The sequence below is a fragment of the Homo sapiens genome, chromosome X (genome assembly GCF_000001405.40).
Source record: "Homo sapiens chromosome X, GRCh38.p14 Primary Assembly".
In the NCBI taxonomy this organism is placed as follows: Eukaryota; Metazoa; Chordata; class Mammalia; order Primates; family Hominidae; genus Homo; species Homo sapiens.
This window is the reverse complement of record NC_000023.11, coordinates 20,011,295-20,038,253: the sequence shown is the minus strand read 5'-3', so window position 1 is coordinate 20,038,253 and position 26,959 is coordinate 20,011,295. Positions and strand designations below refer to the sequence as shown.

General features: G+C 45.7%; 1 protein-coding gene and 1 non-coding gene across 24 annotated transcripts in view; both read left to right on the top strand.

The window, feature by feature from the left end:
• The window catches only part of MAP7D2 (MAP7 domain containing 2), a 110,195-nt gene that overhangs the window by 78,654 nt on the left and 4,582 nt on the right, over positions 1–26,959 (top strand). For 18 of the 23 annotated variants that reach the window (NM_001168466.2, XM_005274480.4, NM_152780.4 and 15 more), the window contains 7 exons: positions 12,302–12,573; positions 13,171–13,303; positions 21,929–22,160; positions 22,927–23,031; positions 24,629–24,685; positions 25,122–25,200; positions 25,719–25,905. In NM_001168466.2, the coding sequence (NP_001161938.1) occupies positions 12,302–12,573; positions 13,171–13,303; positions 21,929–22,160; positions 22,927–23,031; positions 24,629–24,685; positions 25,122–25,200; positions 25,719–25,905 (1,065 nt within the window). Of the gene's footprint in view, positions 1–12,301; positions 12,574–13,170; positions 13,304–16,704; positions 16,907–21,928; positions 22,161–22,926; positions 23,032–24,628; positions 24,686–25,121; positions 25,201–25,718; positions 25,906–26,959 lie in introns of those variants that run through there. The other 5 variants (XM_017029398.3, XM_047441985.1, XM_024452362.2 and 2 more) reach the window with 1 other exon arrangement.
• Positions 21,067–21,166, top strand: MIR23C (microRNA 23c). Its single transcript, NR_037414.1, has one exon. It is a non-coding gene; the product is annotated as a microRNA 23c (primary transcript).

Genomic DNA, 26,959 nt, shown 5'->3' with positions numbered 1-26,959 from the left:
GTAGTCTTGGCAGAAGCATTGCGTGCAGGATAGACAAACCTATATCCAGAGTAAGTATCTATTCCAGCGAGTACAAACTGCTGCCCTTTTCATGATGGAAGAGGTCCAGTATAATCAACCTGCCACCAAGTAGTTGGCTGATCACCTTGAGGAATGGTGCATATCGAGGGCTCAGAGTTGGTCTCTGCTGCTGGCAGATTGGGCACTCAGCAGTGGCCGTAGCTAGGTCAGCCTTGGTGAGTGGAAATCTGTGTTGCTGAGCCCATGTGTAACCTCTATCCCTGCCACCGTGGCCACTTTGTTCATGGACCCATTGTGCAATGACAGAGGTGGCTGGGGAAAGAGGCTGAGTGGTGTCCACAGAACGAGTCATCCTATCCACTTGATTATTAAAATCCTCCTCTACTGAGGTCACCCGTTGGTGAGCATTCACATGGGATACAAATGTCCTCAGTTTTTGACCACTCAGAGAGGTCCATCCACATATCTCTTCCCCAAATTTCTTTGTCACCAATTTTCCAATCATGCTTCTTCCAAGTCCCTAACCGTCCAGCCAAACCATTGGCTACAGCCCATGAATCAGTATATAATCACATATCTGACCATTTCTCCTTCCAAGTAAAGCGCATAACCAGGTGCAGTGCTCGGAGTTGTGCCCACTGGGAAGATTTCCCTTCACCACTGTCCTTCAGGAATGTCCCAGAAAGGGGCTGTAGTGCCGTAGCTGTCCACTTTCAGGTGGTGCCTGCATATCATCCACAGCCATCTGTAAATCAGGCCCTAGTCTTCTCTTCCTCTGTCAACTGATCATAGGGAACCGCCCACCACCACCCATGAGGCCATCGGTGCGGGCTGGGGGAGAGAAGGCAGGGTGACAGGGCATTTGAGCCACTTCCTCATGTAATTTGCTTGTGCCCTCAGGACCTGCTCGAGCCCGATCATGTATATACCATTTCCACTTGATGATAGAATGCTGCTGTGCACACCCCACTTTATGGCTAGATAGGTCAGAAAGCACCCAGTTCATGATAGGCAGTTCAGATCACAAGGAATGGCTTCCTTGCTCCTCAGCTTGCAGATGGCCTATTGTGGGACTTCACCTTGTGGTTGTGAGTCAGTACTCCTTAATAAACTCCCCTTTATATATACATCTATCCTATTACTTCTGTCCCTCTAGAAGTATTTTGGTACCAGGAGTAGTTCTAGAGGAACAGAATATTAAGGATGGAGTTCTTTCGTTGGTTTTGGGGTTTCTGGAGTTGGCTTCTCAGAAGCAAGGTCACAACTGGCTCACTGGCTCTGTGCTGCTTCTTTGAAGTTGAAAATCCTTTTTTTTTTTTTTTTTTTTTTGAGATGGAGTCTCACACTGTCACCCAGGCTGGAGTGCAGTGGTGCGATCTCAGCTCACTGCAACCTCTGCCTCCAGGGTTCAAGTGATTCTCCTGCCTCAGCCTCCCAAGTAGCTGGGATTACAGGGGTGCGCCACCACGCCCGGCTAATTTTTGTATGTTTCGTAGAGATGGGGTTTCACCATGTTGGCCAGGCTGGTCTCGAATTCCTGACCTCGTGATCCGCCCACCTTGGCCTCCCAAAGTGCTGGGATTACAGGCATGAGCCACCGCGCCTGGCCGAAAATCTTTTTTTAAAAAACTTTTATTTTAGTTTCAGGGGCACATGTGCAGGTTTGTTCTATAGATGAATTGTGTGTCACAGGCCAGGCGCGGTGGCTCACACCTATAGTCCCAGCACTTTGAGAGGCCAAGGTGGGTGGATCACAAGGTCAGGTGTTTGAGACCAGCCTGGCCAACATAGTGAAACCCCGTCTCTACAAAAAATACAAAAAATTAGCCAGGCGTGGTGGCACGCACCTGTAATCCCAGCTACTCGGGAGGCTGAGGCAGGAGAATCGCTTGAACCCGGGAGGCGGAGGTTGCAGTGAGCTGAGATCGCGCCACTTCCAGCCCAGGCAACAGTGCAAGACTCCGTCTCAAAAAATAAAAAATAAAATAAATTGCCTGTCACAGGGGTTTGGTGTACATATTATTTTGCCACCCAGGTAATAAGCATAGTACCCAGTGGGTAGTTTTTTGATTCTCACCCTCCTCCCACGCTCCACCCTCAAGTAGGCCCCAATATCTGTTGTTCCCTTCTTCACGTGCAAGTGTACTCATTGTTTAGCTCCCATTAATAAGTGAGAATATACAGTGTCTGGTTTTCTGTTTCTGCATTAGTTCACTTAGAATAATGTGAAGTCGAAAATGTTGAAGAAGATTGTGTTTCTAGAACTATTTTATACACACACACACACACACACACACACACACACATATATATTTTTTTTGAGACGGAGTCTTGCTCTGTCGCCCAGGCTGGAGTGCAACGGTGCAATCTCGGCCCACTGCAACCTCTGCCTCCCAGGTTCAAGCGATTCTCCTGCCTCAGCCTCCCAAATAGCTGGGACTACTGGTGCGCGCCACCACACCCACCTAATTTTTTGTGGGGTTTTTTTGTTTTTGTTTTTGTTTTTAGTAGAGATGGGGTTTCACCATGTTAGCCAGGATGGTCTCAATCTCCTGACCTTGTGATATGCCTGCCTCAGCCTCCCAAAGTGCTGAGATTACAGGTGTGAGCAACCACGCCTGGCCAACTATTTTATATTTTAAAGGACACATCATCTGAGTTTTGTAAAAGCTGTCCCTGATCAAAGGGACTTGGTTAAAATTCCAGACTTTTTTATGCAGTTTAATTTAGAGAAAAAAAATTTAATTTCCACTCTGTCTAGAACACTAGTAGGCACATAGTAGGTGCTATAAATATTTGTGGAATGAATGAATGCAGGTCACTATGCCCAGTGCCTCAGAGAATCCCCAAATGAGTGAGAACAGTCCCTATTTCAAGGAACCTCCAGCAAGGTGCGGGGAGCCTTGTACACAGTTGAGCACAGTACAGGCCCTAATCCAAAGAGCCGCCCATCTGCTCAGGACTCTGCTCAGCCATCATCCTCTCCATAGCCAGCCAAAGCTGAATTCACCCCCTTCTCTGTGTTGACAGAGCATCATGTGCAGCCCTCTTTCATTCACTCACTTAACATCCAGCCCTCTTCTAAGGGCTGAGGATGCAAAAGTCCCTACCCTCCTGGAGCTTATGTGACAGTGAACAGCATGGATAAGATCAGGTGGCGATAAGCACTATGGAAAAAAAATTAAACCGGTTCAGATGACAGAGGGGTGGAAGGGAGTAGCTGGATAAGGTGGTCAGGAAAGGATTCTCTGAGAAGGTGACATTATAGCAGAGCCATGCAGGAAACTAGGGCATAGGCGGGGTTGGTCTATGCCTCATTGCTTGGTGTTAGTATTTTATACTTAGCAATCTCCTGCTAGACTGCTATGAGGTTGGGAACTGTCTTGATTTATTGTTGCACAGTAGGTGCTCAGTATGTGTGTGTGTTAGTCTGTTTGGCTGCTAAACTGACTGGCTTATAAACAACAGAGATGTATTTCTCACAGTTCCGGAGGCTGGGAAGTCCATGATCAAGGTATGGCCAGAGTCAGTGTCAATTGAGGGCCCATTTCTTGATTCATGAACAACCATCTTCTCAGTGTGTCCTCACATGATGGAAGGGGCGCAAGGGAGCTCTCTGGGGTCTCTTTTATAAGGGCACTGATGCCATTCAGGAGGATTCCACCTTCATGACCTAATCACCTCCCAAAGGCCCCACCTCCTAATACCACCACCATGGGGTTAGGGTTTCAACTCACATGTTTTGAGGAGACAGAAACATTCAGACATAGCAGTGGTATGGGATGCAACTAAGAAGGGAAGGAGAAGCTGGGGGGCAAGGGCAGGGTCACCTGGCAGATAGGGAAAATGTTGAGACCAAACCTGCTCAAGGACTTTGCCCTTTGTTCACTCCTGAGCTCAAATGACCCACCTGCCCCTGCCTCCCAAAGTGCTCAGGTTACAGGTGCGAGCCACTGCACCTGGCCAGTTATATCATTCTGTTTTTTTTTTTTTTTTTTTTTTTTTTTGGAGACAGGGTCTCACTCTGTCGCCCAGTCTGGAGTGCAGTGGCTCAGTCTCTGCTCACAGCAACCTTTGCCTGGCAGGTTCAAGCAATTTTCCTGCCTCAGCCTCCCAAATAGCTGGGATTACAGGCATGCACCACCACGTCTGGCTAATTTTTGTATATTTAGTAGAGACAGGGTTTCACTATATTGGCCAGGCCGGTTTTGAACTCCTGACCTCAAGTGATCCACCCGCCTTGGCCTCCCAAAGTGCTGTGATTACAGGTGTGAGCCACCGCGCCCGGCCATTTATATCATTCTTTATACCTTACAAGTTTTGTAAATATTCTCTTGCATACTCATTGTTGGAAAAACATAATAAAAAAGACTTACTTGATTTTTAGAATGATGCCACACACAAAACAAACCCCCACCAAAACTGGTATTTTTGACATTCCTTCTGTGCAGACCAAGTGTGTGATTTTTAAAACGCACTGGAAATGATGTGGCTTTGAAAAGGGGCTTAATTAGCCCTATGAACTCACCCATCCAGAATCCCAGGCAGGTCATGTGATTAATGATACCTTTTCCTGTGACCTCCTAAGCTCTGACAGTGCATTGTTCTCCTGCCTGATGTCAGATAAACTAAGCCACTGTTGGGTGGCTGTGCATGTTAATAGCATTGCTCTTTTAAGCGTTCAAGTTTATTTTTATTGTTTTCATCATTGGGTACTTGCATGGGTTTTAGAAAACTAGATTCAACAACACTCTGAAAGACATAGATGGAGCATAGCTTTGTTCCCATAACCTAGAGAAAAGAAATCCAGTGTGGCCAAGTGGATTTGTCCAGCCCATCTCTACCTCTTGAGTGTTGATGCTGCCTGTACTTCCAGGTCTTCAGTGTGAAATATTCTCTAATGGTTTTATATTCTTAGAAATATATTCTAAGTCAGTTTGGTCATTACGATAGGTAATATTTCAGCTATCTATTACTGCTGTTACAAAGCCCCCAAAATTGAGTTGCTTAAACAGTAATTTATTATTCATTTTCACAGTTCTGTGACTTGGGCTTACTGGGAGGTTCTCTCTTTGGATCTTTTGTGCAGTTGCTCTGTGGGTTGACTTGGGTTACTCAGGGTCTTCCATGCCATTGCAGTCCAGTGTTGACTGGAGCTGCAGTTACCTAGAGCTCAGATGAGCTGAAGGTTCAAGATGGGCCATTTTCCTACCTGGCAGTTGATGATGGCTATTGGCTGGGAGCTCAGCTGAGTCTGTCAAACCAGAGTGCCTACTATGGCTTCTCTGTATGGCTTAGGCTTCTCACAGTGACTGGGTTCCAACAAGAAATGGCCCCAAGATTGAGCATCTTTTGGGTCAGGAAGCGGAAGCTGTCAGGCCAGTGAAGGACTATGCTCTCAATTGGCACAGCCTTACTTGTCTGCTGTATTTTATAGGTCAAAGCAGTCGGGCCAACCTAGATTCAATGGGATGGAGAGATAAACTCAAAAGATAAGATCTTGTGGGATGGGAGATATTATTGTGGCCAACTTTGGAAAATTCAGTGTGCCAAAGATAATCACTTCCAGAGGTAGATCATAGCTGAGATCAGTTTTGTTTCAGGGACCTAGTTTAATTTCACTTTATCATGTGTTGAAAACAAAACATATTCCATATGAGGGAAAAAATTAGGATAAAGGTGTCTGGATGGCCCAAAACAAGTACCTCCCACTTTACTCCAAATCACAGGCCCGTGGAAGGCTCCCTCCCAGACCCAGGCTATCCCTTTGGTGGCTGAGGACATTTAATGGATCCTGGCCAAGTGCCCTTCCCATAAGCTTCTCTGGGAGATGTGTGGCTTGGTTATCCTCTCCCACAGATAAGCATCTACAGCACACTAGGCTCCCACAAGGGCGACTTAACTGCTGTTTTTGCCACCACATCATTCTCTAGTAGGCTTTTACATTCTTACCTGAAATTCTTCCTGAAGAGGGTAATTGAAAATGTCAAGTGATGTCCCCTCCTTGCAGCCATATCTATATACTCACTCAGTCCTGTATTTTTGAGTCTTATCAGAGGATCATTTGAATTTAGACCAATTTTTTCAGCTTTTAAATTTCGAAATCATTTCAACCTTGCAAAAGAATCACAAGACTAGAACACAGAACTCTTTCTTCCCCACCTTTTATCCTGTATTAATGTGTAGCCACATTTCTGTCATCCTTCCCATCCCCTATCACCCTCACTCAGTCTTGCACAGTCTCTCACATTCATCCTCCATAGATGCACACACAGACATACATACCCAGATTTCTCCCAGAACCGTTTGAGAGTAACTTGCAGACATCATACCCCTTTGCCCCTAAGAACGAAGACATTATTTTCCATTGTTATGGAAATCAGAAAGTTTAACTTGGTACTGTTACTTAATTTCTAATGTATGTGCAACTTTTGCCAGGTGTCCCAGTAAGATTCTGGGTTTTTTTGAGACAGACTCTTGCTCTGTGGCCCATGCTGGAGTGCCGTGCTGTGATCTCGGCTTACTGCAACCTCCGCCTCCCAGGTTCAAGTGATTCTCCTGCCTCAGCCTCCCGAGTAGCTGGGATTACAGGGGCACACCACCATACCTGGCTAATTTTTGTGTTTTTATTAGAGATGGGGTTTCACCATGTTGGCCAGGCTGGTCTCAAACTCCTGACCTCAAGTGATCTGCCTGCCTCGCCCTCTCCTTTGTACTGGGAGTACAGGCATGAGCCACCAGGTCTGGCCCAATAAGATTTTTTATATCATTTTTTTTTTCATGGTCCAGGGTCCAACCCAGGGTCCCACATTGCATTTAATTGTCTCACCTTCTTAGTCTTCTTTCAACTGAAACAGTTCCTCAGCCATTCTTTTTCCTGACCTTGACATTATTTTATTTTATTTTATTTTATTTTATTTTATTTTATTTTATTTTATTTTTCGAGATGGTGACTCCCTCTGTCACTGAGGCTGGAGTGCAGTGGTGCAATCTCGGCTCACTGCAACCTCCGCCTCCCGGGTTCAAGTGATTCTCCTGCCTCAGCCTCCCGAGTAGCTGGGACTACAGGCACATGCCACCACACCCGGCTAATTTTTTGTATTTTTAGTAGAGACGGGGTTTCACCATGTTAGCCAGGATGGTCTCGATCTCCTGACCTCGTGATCCACCCGCCTCAGCCTCCCAAAGTGCTGGGATTACAGGCGTGAGCCACTGCACCCGGCTGACCTTGACATTTTTAAAGAATATAGGCTAGTCGTCTTGAGGACTGCCTTCAGTTTGGATAGGCCTGACGTTTCCTCTGATTGCATTCAGGTTGTGTTCTTTGGGCAGGAATCTCGTGGCAGAGGTGTTGGGTCCTTCTCAGTACCTCTTATCAGGAGGCTATGATGTCAGTTTGTTTAATTACTGGTGATATTAACTTTGATTACTGGATTAAGGTGGTGTTCCCAGGTTTCTCCGGTATAAAACTGCTGCTCTTTCTTATCTAGGAAGTAACAAACTTTTCTGAATGTTGGCTGAGCTGTGCTGATGAAGCCAAGACCCCTCCCATGCAGTGAGTGGGCCGTGTTCACTCACTGTGCATGGAGTCAAGTGGTTTTGGAGAACATGGAACTAGATTCCAAGATTGGAGGAAAAAAGTCTTTTGGGGGTTCCACTTTGCAGTCAACTCACATTCAGAGGCATGACAACCCTCTCCAGAGAGTTATTCTTGCCACTGTGTTTACAGAGGTGTTTGTTCGTATTTTCTGCCAGTCATGGAACCTAAAAGGTTATATCATACTGCCTTATGTTCCTAGAAGGTCTAGTTTACCATCCTAAACACACCTTGTGAATCCCCTTTGTTATATTTTTATTGGACCTTAAAAAATTAAAGTGGAAGAGCTAAAAAAGTGAGACAATGAACAAATGCCTTGAGTGCCAGCCCTGGTACTCTTGTCTGTTTGCATTTCTTTGGGAAAGGTTGTTTAAACTCTTAGGACTTTGGTTTTCTTCTGTAAAATATGGTTAATAGCAATTTCCTACGTACCTCACTGGATTACTGTGGCAATCAAATAGACCCTTGTTAAATAGATGAGAAGGTACTTCAGAATAAACCTCCATACAAGCACAGTGAGTTCCCCTAATTAATTCATATTTCTTAAATCAGCCAAAATACCTATTTCCAGGAAATTGAAAAATAGCTTGCCAGACTTTCTTTGGCTTTCAGCAATGTGAGCAGGGCTGGCCAGAGAGCCGTGCAGTCTGACATACCAGCCTTGTGGTTTAGTTTCTTCCGGATACCTGTGCTTAGCACTTTTGCAGGGCAGCTGACAGGGTACAAAGTCCATGTAAGCAAGTGGCAAAGCAGGATGAGCAGGAAACTTGACAGATTGTAGATAACATTGGGAACTTCTTTTTTTTAATTCTGTATTTTGTTCACTCACTGTAAAAAAAAAAAAAATCTATGACTTGCCCACACTTTTCTAATTTGAAGGTCATGTTTGTGTGTGCATACAAGTGTGTGTGTTTTCTAACTTACTCTGTTTATTGGGCAGGGGCTGGGGTCGGGGACTGTAAACAGACTTCTTAATGAGCTTTATCCCAAAGAATCCACCCTTACTTCTCAGGTAGAAGTTATTTTTAAATGTGTGCTCATGGGTAATTGGTCCAGTTTTATTTAGAATGGAACCTCGCAGTCTGTGGCGTGAACTGAACCTACATGTGACCATTCTCTTAAAACAAGCAAGGCTGTTCAGGGCTATGCCAACTTGAGGCTGTCAGAACCTCCCCCACCTAGGCCACCCTGGCCTTTTCTCCCTAGGATTAGGATCTTGTCCTGCATTTCCATTTACTTAGATGGGTCTGACATAGCCAACAGGCTCCTGCCACACTGACTGAGTGTGTGAGCCATTTAAGCAGACACAGAGGTTGTGCTGGAACTCAGATGCTGGCTATGGCTGCTGAGGCTGCAGCCAGTTCAGGCCTCCCACCCACTCCCCCCAGTCCAGCCCTGGAGACCCTTGTGGTCGGAGTCATGTCTGCAGGAAGGCTTCTTGTCTGCCTACCCATTCATGGGCAGAAGTGCCAGCACACTTCAGGGACCCCCGAAGCAGAGCCCAACTCTTTCTATACTGCTTAGAGAAGCCCAGAGTGTGGGCTCGCAGGCCAGTTCCAGGGAGAGAACAAGAACAGGCAGGGTTGTGCACACCCAGCAGCTTTGCTCATTCTCACCAATCAGAGAAATCGTACCTCATTCCACGGGGAGGAGGGTGAGGGCAAGCAAGAAGATCAGGTGAGATTTGCCAGGCCTTCCAATGCCAGAAAGTCCTCCTCAACAGGTCAAGGTAGGAATGCTTATGGGATGAGAAAGTGTTTCCATCTGTTATCATCTACCACGAGATAGTCTTTCCTACAGCCTCTATCGCCAAGTTTCAAATCCACTCCCTGCCCTTGTACTGTTGTTGGATCAAAGGACACATATCATTCACGTGACAATCCAGTGGAGAGATAATGTGCTTTGATCTTGGCAAGGCACTAGACCAAGTCTTTTGAGACACCCTCGTGGTGGTTGGGTGGCGGGTATACAGCTCTACTGTGGGCGCCACTCACCTTAGATAACAGCGTGAAAGGAAGACGTGGCCAAGCAAAAGACCACCAGCTGTATCTTTATACATATTAACTGAGACTAAATGCAGGCTCAGCTAATGTGTACAGTTAGTACACATTGTGTAACTCATTGGAAAACCATGCTCAATGGAGCACTGTCAGTGTGAGCAAGCAGGACATGGGCTCCCCTGTTATTACAGTTCATCTTCCTGGTTTTGGTTCATTCTTGTCTGTGAGGATTATTTGGATTTTTAGTTTATCATCTAATTGATCAACACCAATACCTAACAGCTATTGAGTGCCTACTCTATGCCAGTTCTATAAAGAACATCTTGGGGTCTTGGTGACCCCAAACTCAGACTTAGCTGCGCTGGCAACACAGGAAGTAGAGCAGAGCTGTAAGAAGGCTCTGTGGCTTAGTTCACTGTGGGAAGCCATTTCACCTCTCTAAGCCTAGTTTTCTCATCTGTAAAGAGGCCATGATAATAGTACCTGTGTCATACCATTTACACACATATGTACACAAATATGTGTCTGTAGACATTTAGCAGCCTAGTGGCTGGTGTGTAGACAGCACTCAGTAAACATGGACACAACTGCAGAGAGTGTGAATGGAGGTCTGAGCTCCAAATGGCCAGGGTAAGGACCTGGTCTGACTGTGTCAGAACACATGAGGACTCAACGTGCTGAATCGTAGAGGCACTCACACATTACCTCTCAAGCCAAGGCTCTCAGGAGCCTCAAGGTCACCATGGGGATTGGACACTACCCCTCCAAGCAGAACAGCTCCACTCTTACCTACTGGGTACAGACAGAGTGTGTGTGCATCTGTCTCTGTCTCTGTCTGTCTCTGTCTCTCTCTCTCTCTCTCTCTCTCTCTCTCTCTCCCCCCGCCTTCTCTCTCCCTCTCTCCCTCTCTTTCTCTCTCCCTCTCTCCCTCTCTTTCTCTCTCCCTCTCTCCCTCCCCGCCCTACCCCATGTCTCAGGGATTCTCAGTTGAGGGAGATCTTGTCCCTAAGGGGACGTTTAGCAATGTCTGAAGGCATTTTTGGTTGTCATAACCTGCGTGGGGAGCGGACTGCTGCTGGCATCTAGTGAATGGAGGCCAGGGATGCTGCTAAACATCCCACAGTGCCCAGGACAACCCCACAACAAAGCACTATCCAGCCCCAAATGTCAGTGATGCCAGGTTGAGGAAGCCTGCTCTGCGGGCGTATATGTATGGCGGGGCAGGGGGATTCTCTGCATGGCTTTTATTTGGTAAAAGTCTAGGAAAAAATAGAAGATCAGCGTTATATAGTGTACCTGGAAAAAACCACCTGATTGCTAAGCACTCTGAAAAACCACATCCCTTAGGAGAACCCGAGTGTGGGGCCTGAGCCCAAGGCCAGAGGGGAGAATAGTCTGCAGAGAGTCGAAGCACCATCCACAAAGACAAGGTGTCTTGGGAGTTCTGAGTTGCTCCAGGCCTAATGGCATGAGGACACAGGGAAGCCACTTGGCCAATATGAAAGTCCACATGCCACTTGAGGATTCTTTTCTCCTTCAAGACCAAGTTTAATATTGATCTGATCATATTTCCCCTTATTAGCAGGATCTGATTTGGTAACTCTAAGCCTCTGGTGAAAAATCGTCTTTGAATATCAGGGTGATTTGCCATTTTTATTGCTGTTTTTATAGATCAAAAAAGTCAGATATTAGCAATTCATGGTTCAACCTGCTGAGGATTGAGGGTGATGACTTGTAATTTCTGTATACATTACTTTATATCCTTCCTAGAGGAACTCTGTACAAATGCCCACATCCCTGTTCAAACCTCTAGGGAAACTGGGCATCTCAAGCTAAGCTGTTACCCCTGTCCTGAACAAGCAGCACTCACCAGGAGCCCAGCCTAGGCTGGCGTACCTGTAACGGACCCTTTCCCAGCAGACATAAGACGAGCTCCTGTGTTTTAACCAAGTGGCTTGTCCTCACCTTTTGCATCTGCCCAGTTGGGAGAAGAGAGATTCTTTTAAACCTGAGACCCTCCAAAAAACACCCCCCATCCCCATCTCTTGGCTGTGTTCCTTGGCATTTAAAAAGAAATGGGGAACCTTGAAGACTTGCTAAGTAAAATAAGCCAGACATAAAAGGACAAATACTGTGTCATTCCATTTATACGAGTCACCTGGAAGAGGCACATTCACAGAGACAGGAAGTAGAAGGGTGATTGCCAGGGGCTGAGGGGAGGGGAATGGAGAGTTGAACGCCACTGAACTGTACACTTAAAAATGGTTAAAATGGTAAATTTGGTGTTATATATGTTTTGTCACAATTTTTTTAAAAGGAGCCAGCATGTTCATTGCCATATGCTGAAACCAGATTCAACCCTGATGTTCACCTAAAAAGAGGGAGTAGGGAAGTGCCTAATACTCCATCTTTACATTGTCATGAAACCTAAGTGAGATTAGGACATGGCATCATCAGCTGGGCTTCTTAAAATGTTTCCCTTTCCACCAGGGCCGTCTTAGAGAGACCGTATATTCCTGTTGGGCTGAGAGCACTTTAGTGACTTTTGAGTGTGTGCTAAGCCCTATTTTCCTTCCTCTGGAAGGATGAAATTGTTCAGCTTGTTGGAACTAGGTGTCTTAGGAACAGAGAGCTCTGTGTTCAGGCCCAGTAATCATCCTCTGGCATATTTTTTGTTTTCCAGGACAGCTACTAAAGCTTATCCACAGTCTCCAAAGACAACGAAACCTCCCTACCCAGGGTCTCCTGTGAAGTACCGCTTACCTGCCCTTTCTGGCCAAGACATGCCCAAGAGGAAAGCGGAGAAAGAGAAGAGCAACAAGGAAAGGGAAGGTACCTTGGCTCAGCAGGCTGCTGGCCCGCAAGGAGAGGAAGCCCTAGAGAAGCATGTAGTGGACAAGCATGCCAGCGAGAAGCATGCTGCTGCCGCAGGAGGGAAAGCCGAAAACAGCGCAGGTAGATGCTGCCACCGTGCCTTGGCTTTCCCAAGACGGTTCTCCTCAGACCCAATCCACGTGCCATTCTCTCATGTTTTGGGGAGGGAAAGGGATTTTTCTCTGGGGACAAGTGCATCCCCTCGTGCAGCTTTCTTGGGTTTGCACGTTGCTCCTGAGTTCTTTCCTTCAGTCTTCTGAGGGTCCCCTGGAGGAAATCTAGAGGCTGACTCCACTCATGGCTGTGGAAGCTCACGGGGATGCTGAGTAAAACAGGCCTGCATCTGCACCTCACGCAAAAGAAGATCTTCCTTTAGACTTTCAGGCTTCTATGATGCAGTGAGTTCACCCAGATGGTGGCTGCTGTGGCACTTGCTAGTGACCTTGTCTTTCCTCCTCATGTTTCTATTGTCTTCCACTGTAAAATGCGTCCAGGGTTCCAGCCAGCCCATGACAGCTTCTCTTGCTTGGTGGTCGATTGTGCTAGTCTGGACGGCATTTCCCATCACCACACTGGGTTGGATTTTTTTTCACTTCCAACTGGCAGCTGCTGTGTGAGTGGAATCATTATATTCGTTTCCCTTGATCTTTTCCTCTTGATGCCTCTCCTCTGGTGCAGCCTTGGGGAAGCCCACAGCAGGCACCACTGATGCAGGAGAGGCTGCGAAGATCTTGGCTGAAAAGAGAAGACAGGCCCGGCTGCAGAAGGAACAGGAGGAGCAAGAACGACTGGAGAAGGAAGAACAAGATAGGTATGCTAGTGCTCAGAATTTCGGTGTGATCTCATGTAACTGTTGTGTTGGAAAGAGCAGCTTGCCTTTCTTTTTACAGCGTTGGTATTGATAAAACTTGAACAGAAGTATGGGAACCTAGAATGTCTGAACTACATGGAAGGTGTTCAGGAGACTGAGTCTTATATTAGATGTAATTATTAATAACAATGGAACTTTGTTCTTTTCGGAGGACCTGGAAACTCATAGCTCTTGGATCTAAATGGCACAGGCATCTTCCCATTCTCCTCTTGGACTTTGGGGCCAGGCAGGCCTCCTAGAGCTATCAGGGAAGTCTGAACTTTGTTTAAAAAATGAGATTCTCCCTGGGAAAACAAGAGGTTCAAGATTCTGGTTTTGGTCTTGATTCTGATTTCCAAATTGTTTCCTCCGTCAAATTATCCTAACTCACACCCCAAAGTGAGAGACAGAGGGGAGGGTTGAGCAGTGTCCCCTAGGCATAGGGTTGTGTGTAGGGGCAACCGCATAGTCTAAGAACAGTGAGGTATGGGGAGTCCCATCTGGGAGCAAGACAAAAGACATCATTGCAGTGGTCCCTACACCTTGAAGAGCATCAGAATCATCCGGGGAATGCAGTAAAAACACATGGACTCAGCCCTGTTCTGTTTTAGTAGCTTGCCAGGGTTTGAGAACCACTGTGATGTTAGTACCAGGGTACTTTGTCACAATACAGACAGACCTTCCTTTTCTGATCTTTTTATTTAGAGAGGAAAGCATGTTGAAGGACAAGGTCGATTTTATCATTAAATTGATAAAGGAAGCCGTTAGGCTCATCACAGAGTACAATCCAATACTGTTTAGAGAATTATCATGACAGGAAGCAGGCAATGCTGTAGCACTTCAAGGCCAGCACCGAATTTAGAGTAATAAATAATAGAATATTATTGATCCTTTAGTGACCTTGGTAAGTCTTTGTGGTCTCTGATTACAGGTTTGCTGATCTATTTTTTAAAAGGGACAGTGGGGTAGGTCTCGACAGTCCCTTCTTGAAATTTGGGACTTCTTTGATTGTTTTCCTGTTTCCAACATTTTGGTCAATACAGACGTGTTTTGTTTGTTTGTTTGTTTGTTTTGTCGAGTGGCATGTTTGGGCTGGTTTGGGTGGGCCTTAAGGTGTGTGAAGGGAGGTCACAAGAGATAAAGATGAATCACAGGACCTCAGATGACAGGCCTTGATAATTGCAGGCCATGGAGATACCATGTAGGCTCTGAGCTGGTGAGTAACATGATCGTAGTCGTGTGCTAAAGAAGGTGATGTTCTTTACTTTCCAGCTACCACCGTCTGTATCTCCCATTTTCTTCACAGCCCAGCTCCTGAAAGACTTGATTGAACATTCTGTCTTTATTTTCTCAACTCACATTCAGTCTTCAAACCTCACACCTACCACTCCTCCTCGTTGCCTAACTACTAATCAGTTTCTTGGTTGGCTTTGGCCTTGTCAAGCTTGCCCTTGCTTCTCTGGCCTCTCCTTCATAGCCTCCTCTGTCTGCCCCTCATCCCCTTAAATGTTGCCTGGGCTTTCAGCCCTTAGTCCTGGACCAGCTTCTCTCCCAACAAGCTCTCCCGAACAGCACTGCTCCCGCCTGTTCTGCCAGTGTCCCTGCCATCCTGCCAGTTTCCTATGGCGTCAAAAGATTTAGGGCCCACATTTTACACAACAGCTTTCTGTTGAGCCTTTGTTGTGCTAAACCAGCTCTGCTCTCATCTCACTTCCCACCTTCATTTTCCCTTTGTCTTGTTTTATTGTCCGTTTCTGAAGCTAACTGCAGCTTGCTTTCTAAACCTTCCATACTTTCTGGAACAAGGGAGGCACTAATAACACATGTGTACTGATGACTCCTAAAACTATGCCTGTGGCCCAAGCTCTGTCTAGGGCTGCATTGTCCACTATCAGACCCTCTAGGCACATGTGGCCACCAAAATATACATTCAGTAAAATTCATTTCCCCAGCCACACCCGCCACATTTCCGTGCTCAAGAGCTGCATCTGAGTAGATGTGGATCCACACCACATTGGGCAGCACAAATCTATAGATTGTTTTCCTACTCAACAGAAGGTTCTATTGGATAGCACTGGTCTAGAACCTAGAGACTGTATTTCCAGCTGCAATAAGTTTTCGTTTGAGTGTGTCCCATATACATCTCAAATCCAGCATTTCCAAAGCAGAACTTAGTATTTTTTCCCCAAACTTCCCTTCTCTTTCATGAGCTCTGTGTTCCCATCTCCTCAGACACCCAAGTGAAAAGTCTCAGTGCTACTCTCAGCTCTTTCCTTTCCTTCTTCTTCCCAATGGTTGTCAGGTCCAGTCTTCATCAGCTGTCACATTGGCATCTCTGTTCTCTCCCTTCCCTTCCCGTCCCTCCTCTCCTTCCTCAGCTCCAGCCCCCATCGCTTCTCACCTGGACTGTATCTGTTATATCCCAACTGAGCTCCCTGCTCTAGGTCTCCTAGAGTTTGTCCCCTGTCCACGCTGGGCCCACACTGACCTTTCTCAAATAAATGTGATTGTTCTCCTGTCCTTTAACAAGCCAGTGACTCCCCTGCCCACTGGATCCACCCGAACCTGTCAACAGGCCTTCAAGGCCTGCCGTGAACTGACCACTACCTGCCTCTTACTCCTTGCTTTCCTCCAGACACCAGTGTGCAAAGCTCCCTGACATTCACCCATCACACGGCTCCACACCTCCAAAGCTGTGCTTTTACTTTGCCCCCACGTGGACTTGTGCTCCTTCCTGCCAGACACCTCTTCATTTCTCAAAATGCAGGTCAAGTCTTGCTCCCTCCCTGTACCTTTTCTGGCCCTGTGCCTGGGACAGAACTGACCACCCCCCACTCTTCACCCATACTGAGCCCAGCTGTTCAGTTGACTAACATAGCTTCATTTGTTTACAGGCCTCCTTTCCCCAGTTAGCACCTTAAAAGGCTGGGACATAGTCTTTGGATCACTGGTGCCTGGCGCTCAGTAAATGTACAAGAAAGGAACAGAAGGAGGAAGAATCCTGACTAAGAAACCATCGTAGTAGTAGGTTAAGAGAACAGAAGGGCTAAAGTAGTATGGTGAAGGCAGACATGCAAAAGCCAGTCTCTGTGGACTTACACAATGCCAAAGAAATGGGCAGATTTGAAGTTGATGCTGAGGTTTGATTCTAAGGTCTTAGGAGAATGGTACACCCAATAACAGGTAAAGAAAGGACATAAGGAATTGGTTTTAAAAGATAAAAATTATTCATTTGATTTTAGGTGAGGTTATGGTGTCTACAGTACGTCCAGATGATTGGAGATGGAATTGAAGGTTGGGGGTGTAGGTAAAAATTAGAGCAATACACTCGACCCCAAATGAGTTTTCCTCTCTCTTGCCAGAATGTGAAGCTTTGCATAGTGCCACGTGGGAGGTGAGGAGTGAGGAAGGAAAGTACCAGACAACCTGGGGCTGGAACACAGCGGCCACCTCTTGGAATAAGATCATCCTCACATCTGTTTTATGTTTACAGTTAATAGTTAAAGCCACAGAAATGTTGCCAGATAAAATAATTTAGAGAAAAATAAAGTTACTTGAGTCAAACCGTGGAAAGCCCAATTATTGTCACAAACTGGTAAGGGAAACACCATCCAAGTCAAGGATGGGGGAACCAGAACAGAAGGGCCAACCAGGAGTCCAGACAAGCAGGCCCTAAGCAGAAGAACAAAAGTTGGTCCATTCCCAAACACAACAGGGCCCAGCCCCCAGGCTGTGGATGGCCCAAGATATAAAGTGAGATTCTTAGAGGTGGGGCAGGAAACCTTAGACGCCGGGTCCACCCTGGGGAAGGCACTGGCAGGAACTAGTAAGCAGGAGATCTTAATGGGATTCCTAGACGGATCACTTTAAGTCATGTTAAAAAGCTAAAATAGCTACTAGGGGTTCACATGAAAGAATATTCCAGCCAGACGCAATGGCTTGTACCTGTAGTCCCAGCTACTTGAAAGGCTGAGGTGGGAGGATCACTAGAGGCCAGGAGTTCGAGTTGAGCCTGGGCAACGTAGAGAGACCCCATCTTTTTAAAAAATTGAAGGAAAGAGAATATTCCAGTTAGACAGCTCCCTACGAGCAAGGTCACGTAGGCAGGCTAAAGTTTCTTGTCGAAGCAAGAGTTAGCCCAGGCCAGGAACCACAGGCAGAGGTCTTCGAGGCTGCTCAGACCTGGCTTTTTGCTGCTGAGCCTACAGGTGGCAGGTGGTTTTGGTGAGAGCTAGGGCAGGTGGGGGCACATGCGATGTGGGGCAGCAGGATGTAGCAGCAGCTGAGGCAGGAAGGGAAAGCCAAGAGAGGTAGGAGAGAGCCAGGGTCATGCAGCCTTATGTAGCACAGGGCTGTAGGGAGAGCCACATGGGCAGGACTTTTGATAAGACATAGGCTTATCAAAGACGAAGGCTGTTGGTCTTGGGATTTAGGAGATGAAAAGAGATTTTGGAGGGAAATTGTTGAGAAGTAGGATAGAGACAAAGCAGCCTGAAGAGATGAGTGGATACAGGCCCAGAATATAAGCTGGCTGTTAAGCAGTCATGAATGAGAAGCAGCTGAGAGAGGACTGAGGAGGGTTGCTTGTGATTCCCGAGACATGAGCATTTTTCCAGGGCATGGAAAACATGCATGCAGAAGGTTGAAACTGACAAATGAAGGGAAGAGGGGCTAGTGGGAGGGACACATAGCTGTGGAGGATGTGGAATTCACAGCACAAGTGGTGGCATTTCCATCTAAGCAGAGGAACAAATGGGGACATTTCTGAGCAGTAATGTCATAGAGGAGAGTTTAAGAAGCTCAGATCAGGTGGCCTCAGTCTTCTCTGTATAGCAGTTGGTGATAAGCATCAACTAAGGAAGATGACGAAGATTGAGAAAAGTGGTAATTGGGACTGTGTCCATAAGGGATCCAGGGGATGAGGATTAAAAGGCCGGAATGCAATTGCCAGCAGGCAGATAACCAGCCAGCCTCGTTTACACCTCTCTCTAACCAGTGATTGGCAGCCCAGGAGTGGTCCTGGAAACCACCCAAGCCTGGAGTTGGGCAGCAGAGTGACCTCCATGCCATCTCTGAAATGCTCACAAGGGTACCTAAGGCCTGGGGAACACTGAGAGAGAGGGAAGCAGACGCAAGTAGACTGCACAGCGCTAACCAGGGCAGGTCAGGAGAGAAAAAGGCAGAAGGATGGGGTGTGATCAGATCAAAGAAGATTAATGTTGAAGGTTAGGCTTGTTTTAAAATGAAAACTTTTAAGCACGTAAGAATAGAGACCAGTGAAACCCACATACTCGTCCCTCAGATTGAACAATTCAAGTTTAAGTTTGTGTCAGTGACATGAGGAAGGTTAACAGGGAGCGACAGAAAAGGGGGCGAGGTGCTGGAGTTTCCAACAGACAGGAGCCAATATATGAAGATCCTCCTCAAATGGCCAGTGACAGGGACAAGGGATGATGCATCCACTGAATGCCAAATGATGACAGTAATGCACAGTTTTCTGGTACTTTGTACATAGTGAGGAAAGGGAGAGGGACTTGGGTGAATGACAAGAACAAGGATGGAGAGGGTGACAGGACTACACACAGGGCCAGGCACTGGCTCACACCTGTAATCCCAGTGCTTTGGGAGAATGGGGTGGGCGGATCACTTGAGCCCAGGAGTTTGAGACCAGCCTGGGCAACAAAATGAGACCTGTCTCTATTAAAAAAAAATTCAAAAATGATCCAGGCATGGTGGCACTCACCCGTGGTCCTGGCTACTTGGGAGCTGAGGTGGGAGGATCGCTTGAGCCTGAGAGGTTGGGGCTGCAGTAAGCTGTGATGGCAGCACTGCACTCCAACTTGGGCAACAGCACGAAACCCTGCCTCTACAAAGAAAAAAAAAAAAGGACTACACACAGAGCTGATGAACTTTGGAGGTTTAGTAATGACGGCAAGGGCGGTAGGCTCGGGGTAGCCCACGGCAGAGGGCGGTGGGGAAAATGATGAAATCTAATGTGCTGTCTGGTTCTTTGAGCAGAGACAGAAGGAATGCTCATCCTCGGAGAGGATTGTGAGGGACCTGGTTTCACACAGGGGAAGCCAGGGTTGTTTGTTTTGTTGAATTTTACCTACTTTAGGGAAGCAAAGTGTGGTTAAGGGAGAGAACTTGGTATATAAGAGGATGAAGGGGCTGGGCACAGTGGCTCAAACCTGTAATCCCAGCACTTTGGGAGGCCAAGGCAGGCAGATCACTTGAGGTCAGGAGTTCGAGACCAGCCTGGCCAACATGGTGAAACCCCATCTCTACTAAAACTACAAAAATTAGCTGGGCATAGCGGCGCATGCCTGTAGTCCCGGCTACTTGGGAGGCTGAGGCACAAGAATCACTTGAACCCAGGAGGCAGAGGTTGTAGTGAGCCAAGATCACACCACTGTACTCCAGCCTGGGCAACAGAGTGAGACTCCATCTCAAAAAAAAAAAAAAAAAAAAGGACAAGATTTCCCTGGAGGTGCTATGGAAAGGACAAGCGGGGTCTCATGGGCTTGTGGGGATTTATATTTTGGGTGATAATGAGGATTATGGAGGTTCAGGGGCCATAAGGATGTTCTTACATGTGTGCATCTGGGCACTTCTGAAGTCCTGATGGTAAAAAACAAGAAACAGAGGCCAAGTGCAGCGGCTCATGCCTATAATCCTAGCACTTTGGGAGGCCGAGGCAGGCAGATCACCTGAGGTCAGGAGTTTGAGACCAGCCTGACCAACATGGTGAAACCCCGTCTCTACTAAAAATACAAAATTAGCCAGACATGGTGGCGCATACCTGTAATCCCAGCTAGTTGGGAGGCTGAGGCAGGAGAATCACTTGCACCTGGGAGGCAGAGGTTGTGGTGAGCCAAGGTTGCACCATTGCACTCCAACCTGGGCAACAACAGTGAAACGCCATCAAAAAAAAAAAAAAAAAAAAGAGAATGGATTTTCAGGTCCTGGAGATGAAGACGGCAGGTCCTTTATGAAGTAGCTTATACATTAATTAATACACAATGTATCCTTTGTGTGTTAACTTCTCTGGGACAATCATAATTGGCTCGTTAATAAAGGGTAAGAAATGAAATGGTACTTCAGTTAACCTTTAGATACATCTTGTTATTAACACATCCATTTTGGATAATCCTGTGTTGGACATAGTATTTCATTGAGGAATCTAAGAAAATGGGAGCTTCTTTCTGATAGGTTCTATAATGCTCCTCTCCAGAATATCTGTTAATAATTTGAGTTGTTTCACAATGGTTTATAGGCATTGTGACCTAATTTAGTGTTATCACGTATTGTTACAGTCTCAGGCTAATATATTTAAGTATTTGTTTATCTTTCTTTTAAAATATTTCTTTGAATGAATAAACAAAATATTTCCTTTGGTCATACATAGGCTGTTAGCCTGCACAAGTTCTGAAGCTGACCATTAGGATGGATGGATGCTCTTTTTAAGTCTTGACCTTTTTATAACAACAGCATCCCAGTAAGTCATTGGCACATGCTTCCAAATGAAGGTAATTTCTAAAGGACATACAGATTTATAGGTGCACTTTAAAGGACATTGGGGCTTGGAGAGAGGATTCATTTTAAATTGTAAAACAAACTAACGTTTGAGAACCTTCTAGGGCCAGGCATTTTCATTCTCACAGTAAAGCCATAGAACAATAGTATAGCTTTTCCCATTTTTTAAATGGGCATCAAGAACATTGAGTGACTTTCCAGGTGTCACACAGTGAGTGGCATAATCAGAGTACAATTTGAGTCATGCCCATACATCACATTGCCAGTGATTACCCAAGGAAAGTGACGTACATGTGAGGAGGAGGAACATTAGAAAGGTTAAAACAAGCTCTTGGACTTTACAGGATTTTCCCTTACTGCTTCGAGCTCTTTACCATTACACCATGAACCATTCATCTGACTGTGGATGAAAATGTCTAAATGCCACTTAATTTTCATATAGCAAAGAAAGCTAAAATAGATTTCTAAAGATTGCCAAAATAAATGGAAATAGAGGTTTTAATTTATTAAATGTCAAGTTTCTGTTGAGCATTTTCTTCCATTTGCTGCTTCATAAGTCACATACCAATTAGAACCAAATTGGTATGACTTTTTGAGTTCGTAGTCACTGCTCTTAAATTGCTGACTGGCACATTTGTGGCCATTGAGACACTTCCCATTTTTCCTAGCTTTCATTGGTTTTAAATATTCTGCTTAGGTTTTAAAAGAATTGTCATTCAATAAGAATGATGGCTTGGCTTTCTGTCACCGTGGTCATTTGTTCATTGACTGAGGAGCATCTGTTTTCAATACAGTATGCGTTACACATCAACACATCATTCATTGCTGTATTACAGAATTTAAAGTCAAGCCTGGTTAATACTTTTTGGTAAATATATGGACCAGAGTGGATTTCCAGGAAGGATGAATCATGTTATTAAATGAATGCTCGTTGAAAGGTATGTGTGTGTGTTACCATGTGGAGCATTATTCTCGGCTGTCAGCACACAGTTCTCTGGCAGTTTGCTTTTCGAGCATGTCATCTTCTAACAACAGTTGTATTCTCAAAAGGCTGGAGAGAGAGGAATTGAAAAGAAAGGCAGAGGAGGAAAGGCTTCGCCTAGAAGAGGAAGCCCGAAAGCAGGAAGAAGAAAGGAAGCGGCAGGAAGAGGAAAAGAAAAAACAGGAAGGGGAAGAGAAAAGAAAGGCAGGCGAGGAGGCCAAGCGGAAGGCTGAGGAGGAGCTGTTGTTGAAAGAAAAGCAAGAACAAGAAAAACAAGAGAAAGCCATGATTGAAAAGCAGGTACTGTATGAGTCCTCAGATGGACTTTACTTGTTTTTTAAGGACCTTGATAGTAGGTACAATTAGTTAAATTTCAATGACTCATAATGTTTACTTGAAGTTTCTTCTTAAACTGTCTGGGCTGGTTATTAAATATAAGTTGGGGCAGTTGCAGTGAAGTTGGTAATGTTTGCCATCTGTGAGTTAGGGTTTCCCCAAAGGCAAACCCTGGGCTAAGAATTTGAGTGCCAGCAGTTTTTTTTGCAAGCGAATCCCAGGAAGCTGGTAGAGGAATAGGAGAAAAGCCAATGTAAGTGCATTGATGCATGTGTTACTGTGGGTGACTGGAACACAGTCCCATTGGGAACCTCTGACAGACTGTGGATCATGCTTTAGAATTGTCCAGCTGAGGGATGAGGAAACTGAACTACTTATCTACCACATCCTGCCCTTCACGGTAGTAGAAGGTCACTCCCTGGGGAATTAACTCTCTGATCTGGCCACATGCACACTTCATGGCCCAAGCCTGCCCACAGACACAGAAAAGCCTTGGCCATGTGTGAGAACTGTCTGCAGGTGATTTGCATGGTGAGCCAGGGGTATATGAATGAGGTCCAACCATGTTTGCTGTGTCATGCAGTGGTTTGTATAAATCCACATTGAATATTGGAGCAGCATCCACTTTAGGGCAGATGATGAGATGAAGGAACATGTGCAAAGCCAGGGAATTACCACACTGTTTTCTTAGCTTATTAAAGCTTTGCCTTGATTTACCTGTTTCTGTTAGAAAGAAGCAGCAGAAACAAAGGCCCGGGAGGTAGCTGAACAGATGCGTCTCGAGAGAGAACAGATTATGCTGCAGATTGAGCAGGAGAGACTGGAGAGAAAGAAGGTAAGGGCTGAGGGTCAGGAAGACCTAGGGTAAGTGAACAGGAAGTAAATCCAGTTCTCTTCTGCAGTGATTGGATAGAATGATCCTAGGATTGTCAGTTAGGTCAAGTTCATTGATACCACTGTTCAAATCTTTTATGTCTTTATTAGTTTTTTGCCATCTCGTTCCATCAGTGATTGAGAAAGATTGTTAAAAACTCCATCTGTAGCGAGGCATGGTGGCTCACACCTGTAATCCCAGCATTTAGGGAGGCAGAGGCGGGAGGATCACTTGAGCCCAGAAGTTCCAGACCAGCTTGAGTAATACAGTGAAACCCTGTCTCTACTAAAAATACAAAAAATAGCTGGGTGTGATGGCATGTGTCTGTAGTCCCAGCTACGTAGGAGGTTGAGGTGGGAAGATGACCTGAACTCGGGAAGTTAAGCCTGCAGTGAGCCGAGATCATGCCACTGCAGTCCAGCCTGGGGAACAGGAGTGAGACCCTGTCCCAAATAATAGAAAAAAGAATAACTCCATCTGTGATTATGGATTTGTCCATTTTTCCTTTCAGTTCTGTCAGGTTTTGTTTTATATATATTTATCGTGATATGCCTTTGTCTCTAGTGATATTTCTTGTCTTAAAGTCTACTTTGACAGCCCCCTGCCTTTTATTTTTTTGAGACAGTCTCACTCTATTGCCCATGCTGGAGTGCAGTGGTGTGATCTCGGCTCACCACAACCTCCACCTCCCAGGTTCAAGCGATTCTCCTGCCTCAGCCTCCCAACTAGCTGGGATTACAGGCGCACACCACCACACCTGGCTAATTTTTGTATTTTTAGTAGAGATGGGATTTCACCATGTTGGCCAGGCTGGTCTCGAACTCCTGGACTCAAGGGATCCTCCTGCCTCGGCCTTCCAAAGTGCTGGGATTATAGACGTGAGCCACTGTGCTTGGCCTGACAGCCCTTTTATGATTAGTGTCTGTATGTCAAATCTTTTTCACCCTTCTACTTAAAACTTCTTCTGTGTGTTTTTATAAGTAAAGAGCATATAGCCAGGAATTGTTATTTTAATTCTGTTTGACAGTCTTTGTCTTTTAATTGGAGTGTTTAGTCCATTTACACTAACTATACTTATGGGTAAAATTGGGTTTAAGCAGACTGATTATAAAGGAGTATTCTCATGGTGTCCTAGGCCCAACCTGGGCTTTGTATTGCTGTAGGCCTGGGATCCAGGAGACCAGCCTGTGGCCTTCTCTCCTGAGATGCACCTCAGCCTCAGCCTCACTTTCTGTAGGGTGGTGCTCTTTAATGGCAGGTGGTAATTTGTTGATTTATACAGAGCCTAAGGAGAAGAAGGAGAAATATGGGATATAAATCGAATATTGATTCTAGATACGTACTAGTTAACTTCTCAAGCATTTGACCTTGTCCATGGGGCCGGAGGTGTACATCTCCAAAACTAGTGGAAAACCTTTCTATACTTGTTATCCTCTTCTGACTTTTGCCTTTTACAAGTTTTCTGAGAAATGTGACATTGCATGTAAACCAAGCTACTTTTATGTTTTTGGTCTTATTGTCCTCTTACTTGATTTTGTTTTTTGTTTTTTGTTTTTAGAGAATAGATGAAATCATGAAGAGAACAAGGAAAAGTGATGTGTCTCCACAAGTGAAGGTAGGAATTCAAATGACCATTTTAATAGTTTATGTACTAAGTAGAAAAGAACAGCAGAATACACTCAGTGAAATTGTAGGTCTTGGCGACGATTAGCCAGAAAAAAATGCAGTTTTCCTGCTTTGTTCCTGGCTAGGTTAAGGAGGGTTAGGTACCTGAAAAGAAAGAGGGGCTTCAGAGGTGGGATGGGTAAGAGATTTCCTTAGAGTCATGGGAGGTGGGATGAAGAGAGAGGCATAGTAGTCCATGAATAAAAAAGAGAATCCTGACATAAAAATACGTAAGAATAAGGGAAACACAGCTGAAGATTTAAAGAATTACCACAGAACAGGCAGATGGTCCAGGCTCAAAATATCATCGGATGCTTTTAAAAAGTACTTTTTTTCTGTGTGATGTCAGCCTTCCCTCATTTCATTCACCTTCCATTTGTTTTCAGAAAGAAGACCCCAAAGTGGGGGTCCAGCCTGCTGTGTGTGTGGAAAAGAAGACAAAACTGGTTGTCCCCAACAAAATGGGTGAGTGTGACATCTGGTTCTTGGGTTCTTCCTTTTAGTAGCAAAAGCTCGTAAGACTTGGTGTAGGGTAAACAGACCCATGGATCCCAAGAGGGTGACTGCTGGCAGGGGCCTGTGCAGTTTCCCTTCCCTGGGAATGTGTCTCCAGCACAGGGACTGTCAGCTCCACTTGGGAACCCACTGGGTTCCTTGGTTACTCCCATAATCCCAGCATAGGAGGCACTCTGGCTGCTGGCTCACAGTGCTTTCCAGGGAGCTTAACTGCTGGTCAGGTTTTATTACTGTTAGGACCTGACTCTGCTCTTCTCCAGAGGTTCTGCACAGACACTGATAATGTGATTTGTCTTCTCTTCTCCTGTGTGAAGGTGATTATATGGGTTTATTTGTGGCTCTTTCCACAAAAGATGCTGCAGTATCAGTGAAGCAGAGCATTAAATTAATTGCCTTGATCTATATTTCTCTGTTACTTTATTTAGACATTTTATGATTAACACAAGGGACTTTGTGTTCTCGATCAGAAATCAATGGATTGAACACCTGCCAGGAAGTTAATGGTGTGGATCACGCTGCCCCAGAAACTTATCCCCAAGACATTTTCTCTAATGGGCTTAAGCCAGCTGGGGGACTCATTCATCTGGATGCCCTTGATGGGAAATCAAATAGCCTGGATGATTCAACTGAAGAAGTTCAGTCTATGGATGTGAGGTATATTCATTTCTTTTGCATTTAAGCCTCATCACTTCTCGAAACACTACCCTTTCTTTTAGTTGGTTTCTTCGTCTTTTATACAACCAAATCACCTAAAGCAGGTTTGATTGACATTACAGGAAAGCTCTCAGTGGTATAACATTCTAGTGTCTTGCGTCAGGTTCCCTAGAAGCAGAGCCTGGAACAGAGTTTCTAGGGCATGTGATTTGTTAGAGGAAAGCTCTTGGGAGTTTTTCAGGAGAAAGGGGAAGGAGGGAATTCGCTAAGCAAGGATGCCTTCTCAGCTGACCCCATGGGAGCTCTGGAGGATGAATTTCCACCAGAGACAGTTCCTCTGAGCTTCTGCAGTTCTGGTTTTTCTAGATTCTTCTCTAAGATCTCACAAGGAAGAAAAAGAAGAACCTGGCAGCAGCTTTACTCTGGCTGTTAAGAGATTCCTGGTGACAGGCCCTCAGCCCACCACTCTTCAGAGCCTGGATTTGTTCCTTTGCTAGGCCTTACAGCTGGCGCAATTATGAAACTCCTCCTTCCATCTCTAGGGAGAGGAAGAGAGAGAGAGAAAGAAAACCAGCCTTGGCTGGGCTGGAGCTGGATAAGTCAGAGTGGATTGGAAGCCTCACTTTAGAGAGGAAGCAGAGCGTGAGATTGGCTTTGCCAGTGATGACGTGGGCTGTGGTGGGATCCTTTCATTATGGGCCCCCCAACCTTAACTGAGCACTTCAGGCGTTTCCACATGAACTCTTCTCAGCACGATCAGATTCACACTCACAGGAGCCCTGGCAGAGAGAAACAATTGTTCCCATTTTACTGGCGAAGAAACTGAGGCTGCAGGAAGGAAAAGCAATTCGCCCAAGGTGGCACTACTAGAAAGGCAGCACTGGGAGCCCCACTGTTAATTAGGGTTCTTCTTCAACTTGCTTTGAACTTTTGGCATTGGCTTTCTGTCTGAATGTCCCATTTAGAAAGTTCTGGAATGCCTTGCTTCTTTGTGGTAGAATGCTGGTGCCTGTGGGTTTTTGTCCTTTCACCCTTTGGGCAATGTGACCTTGGC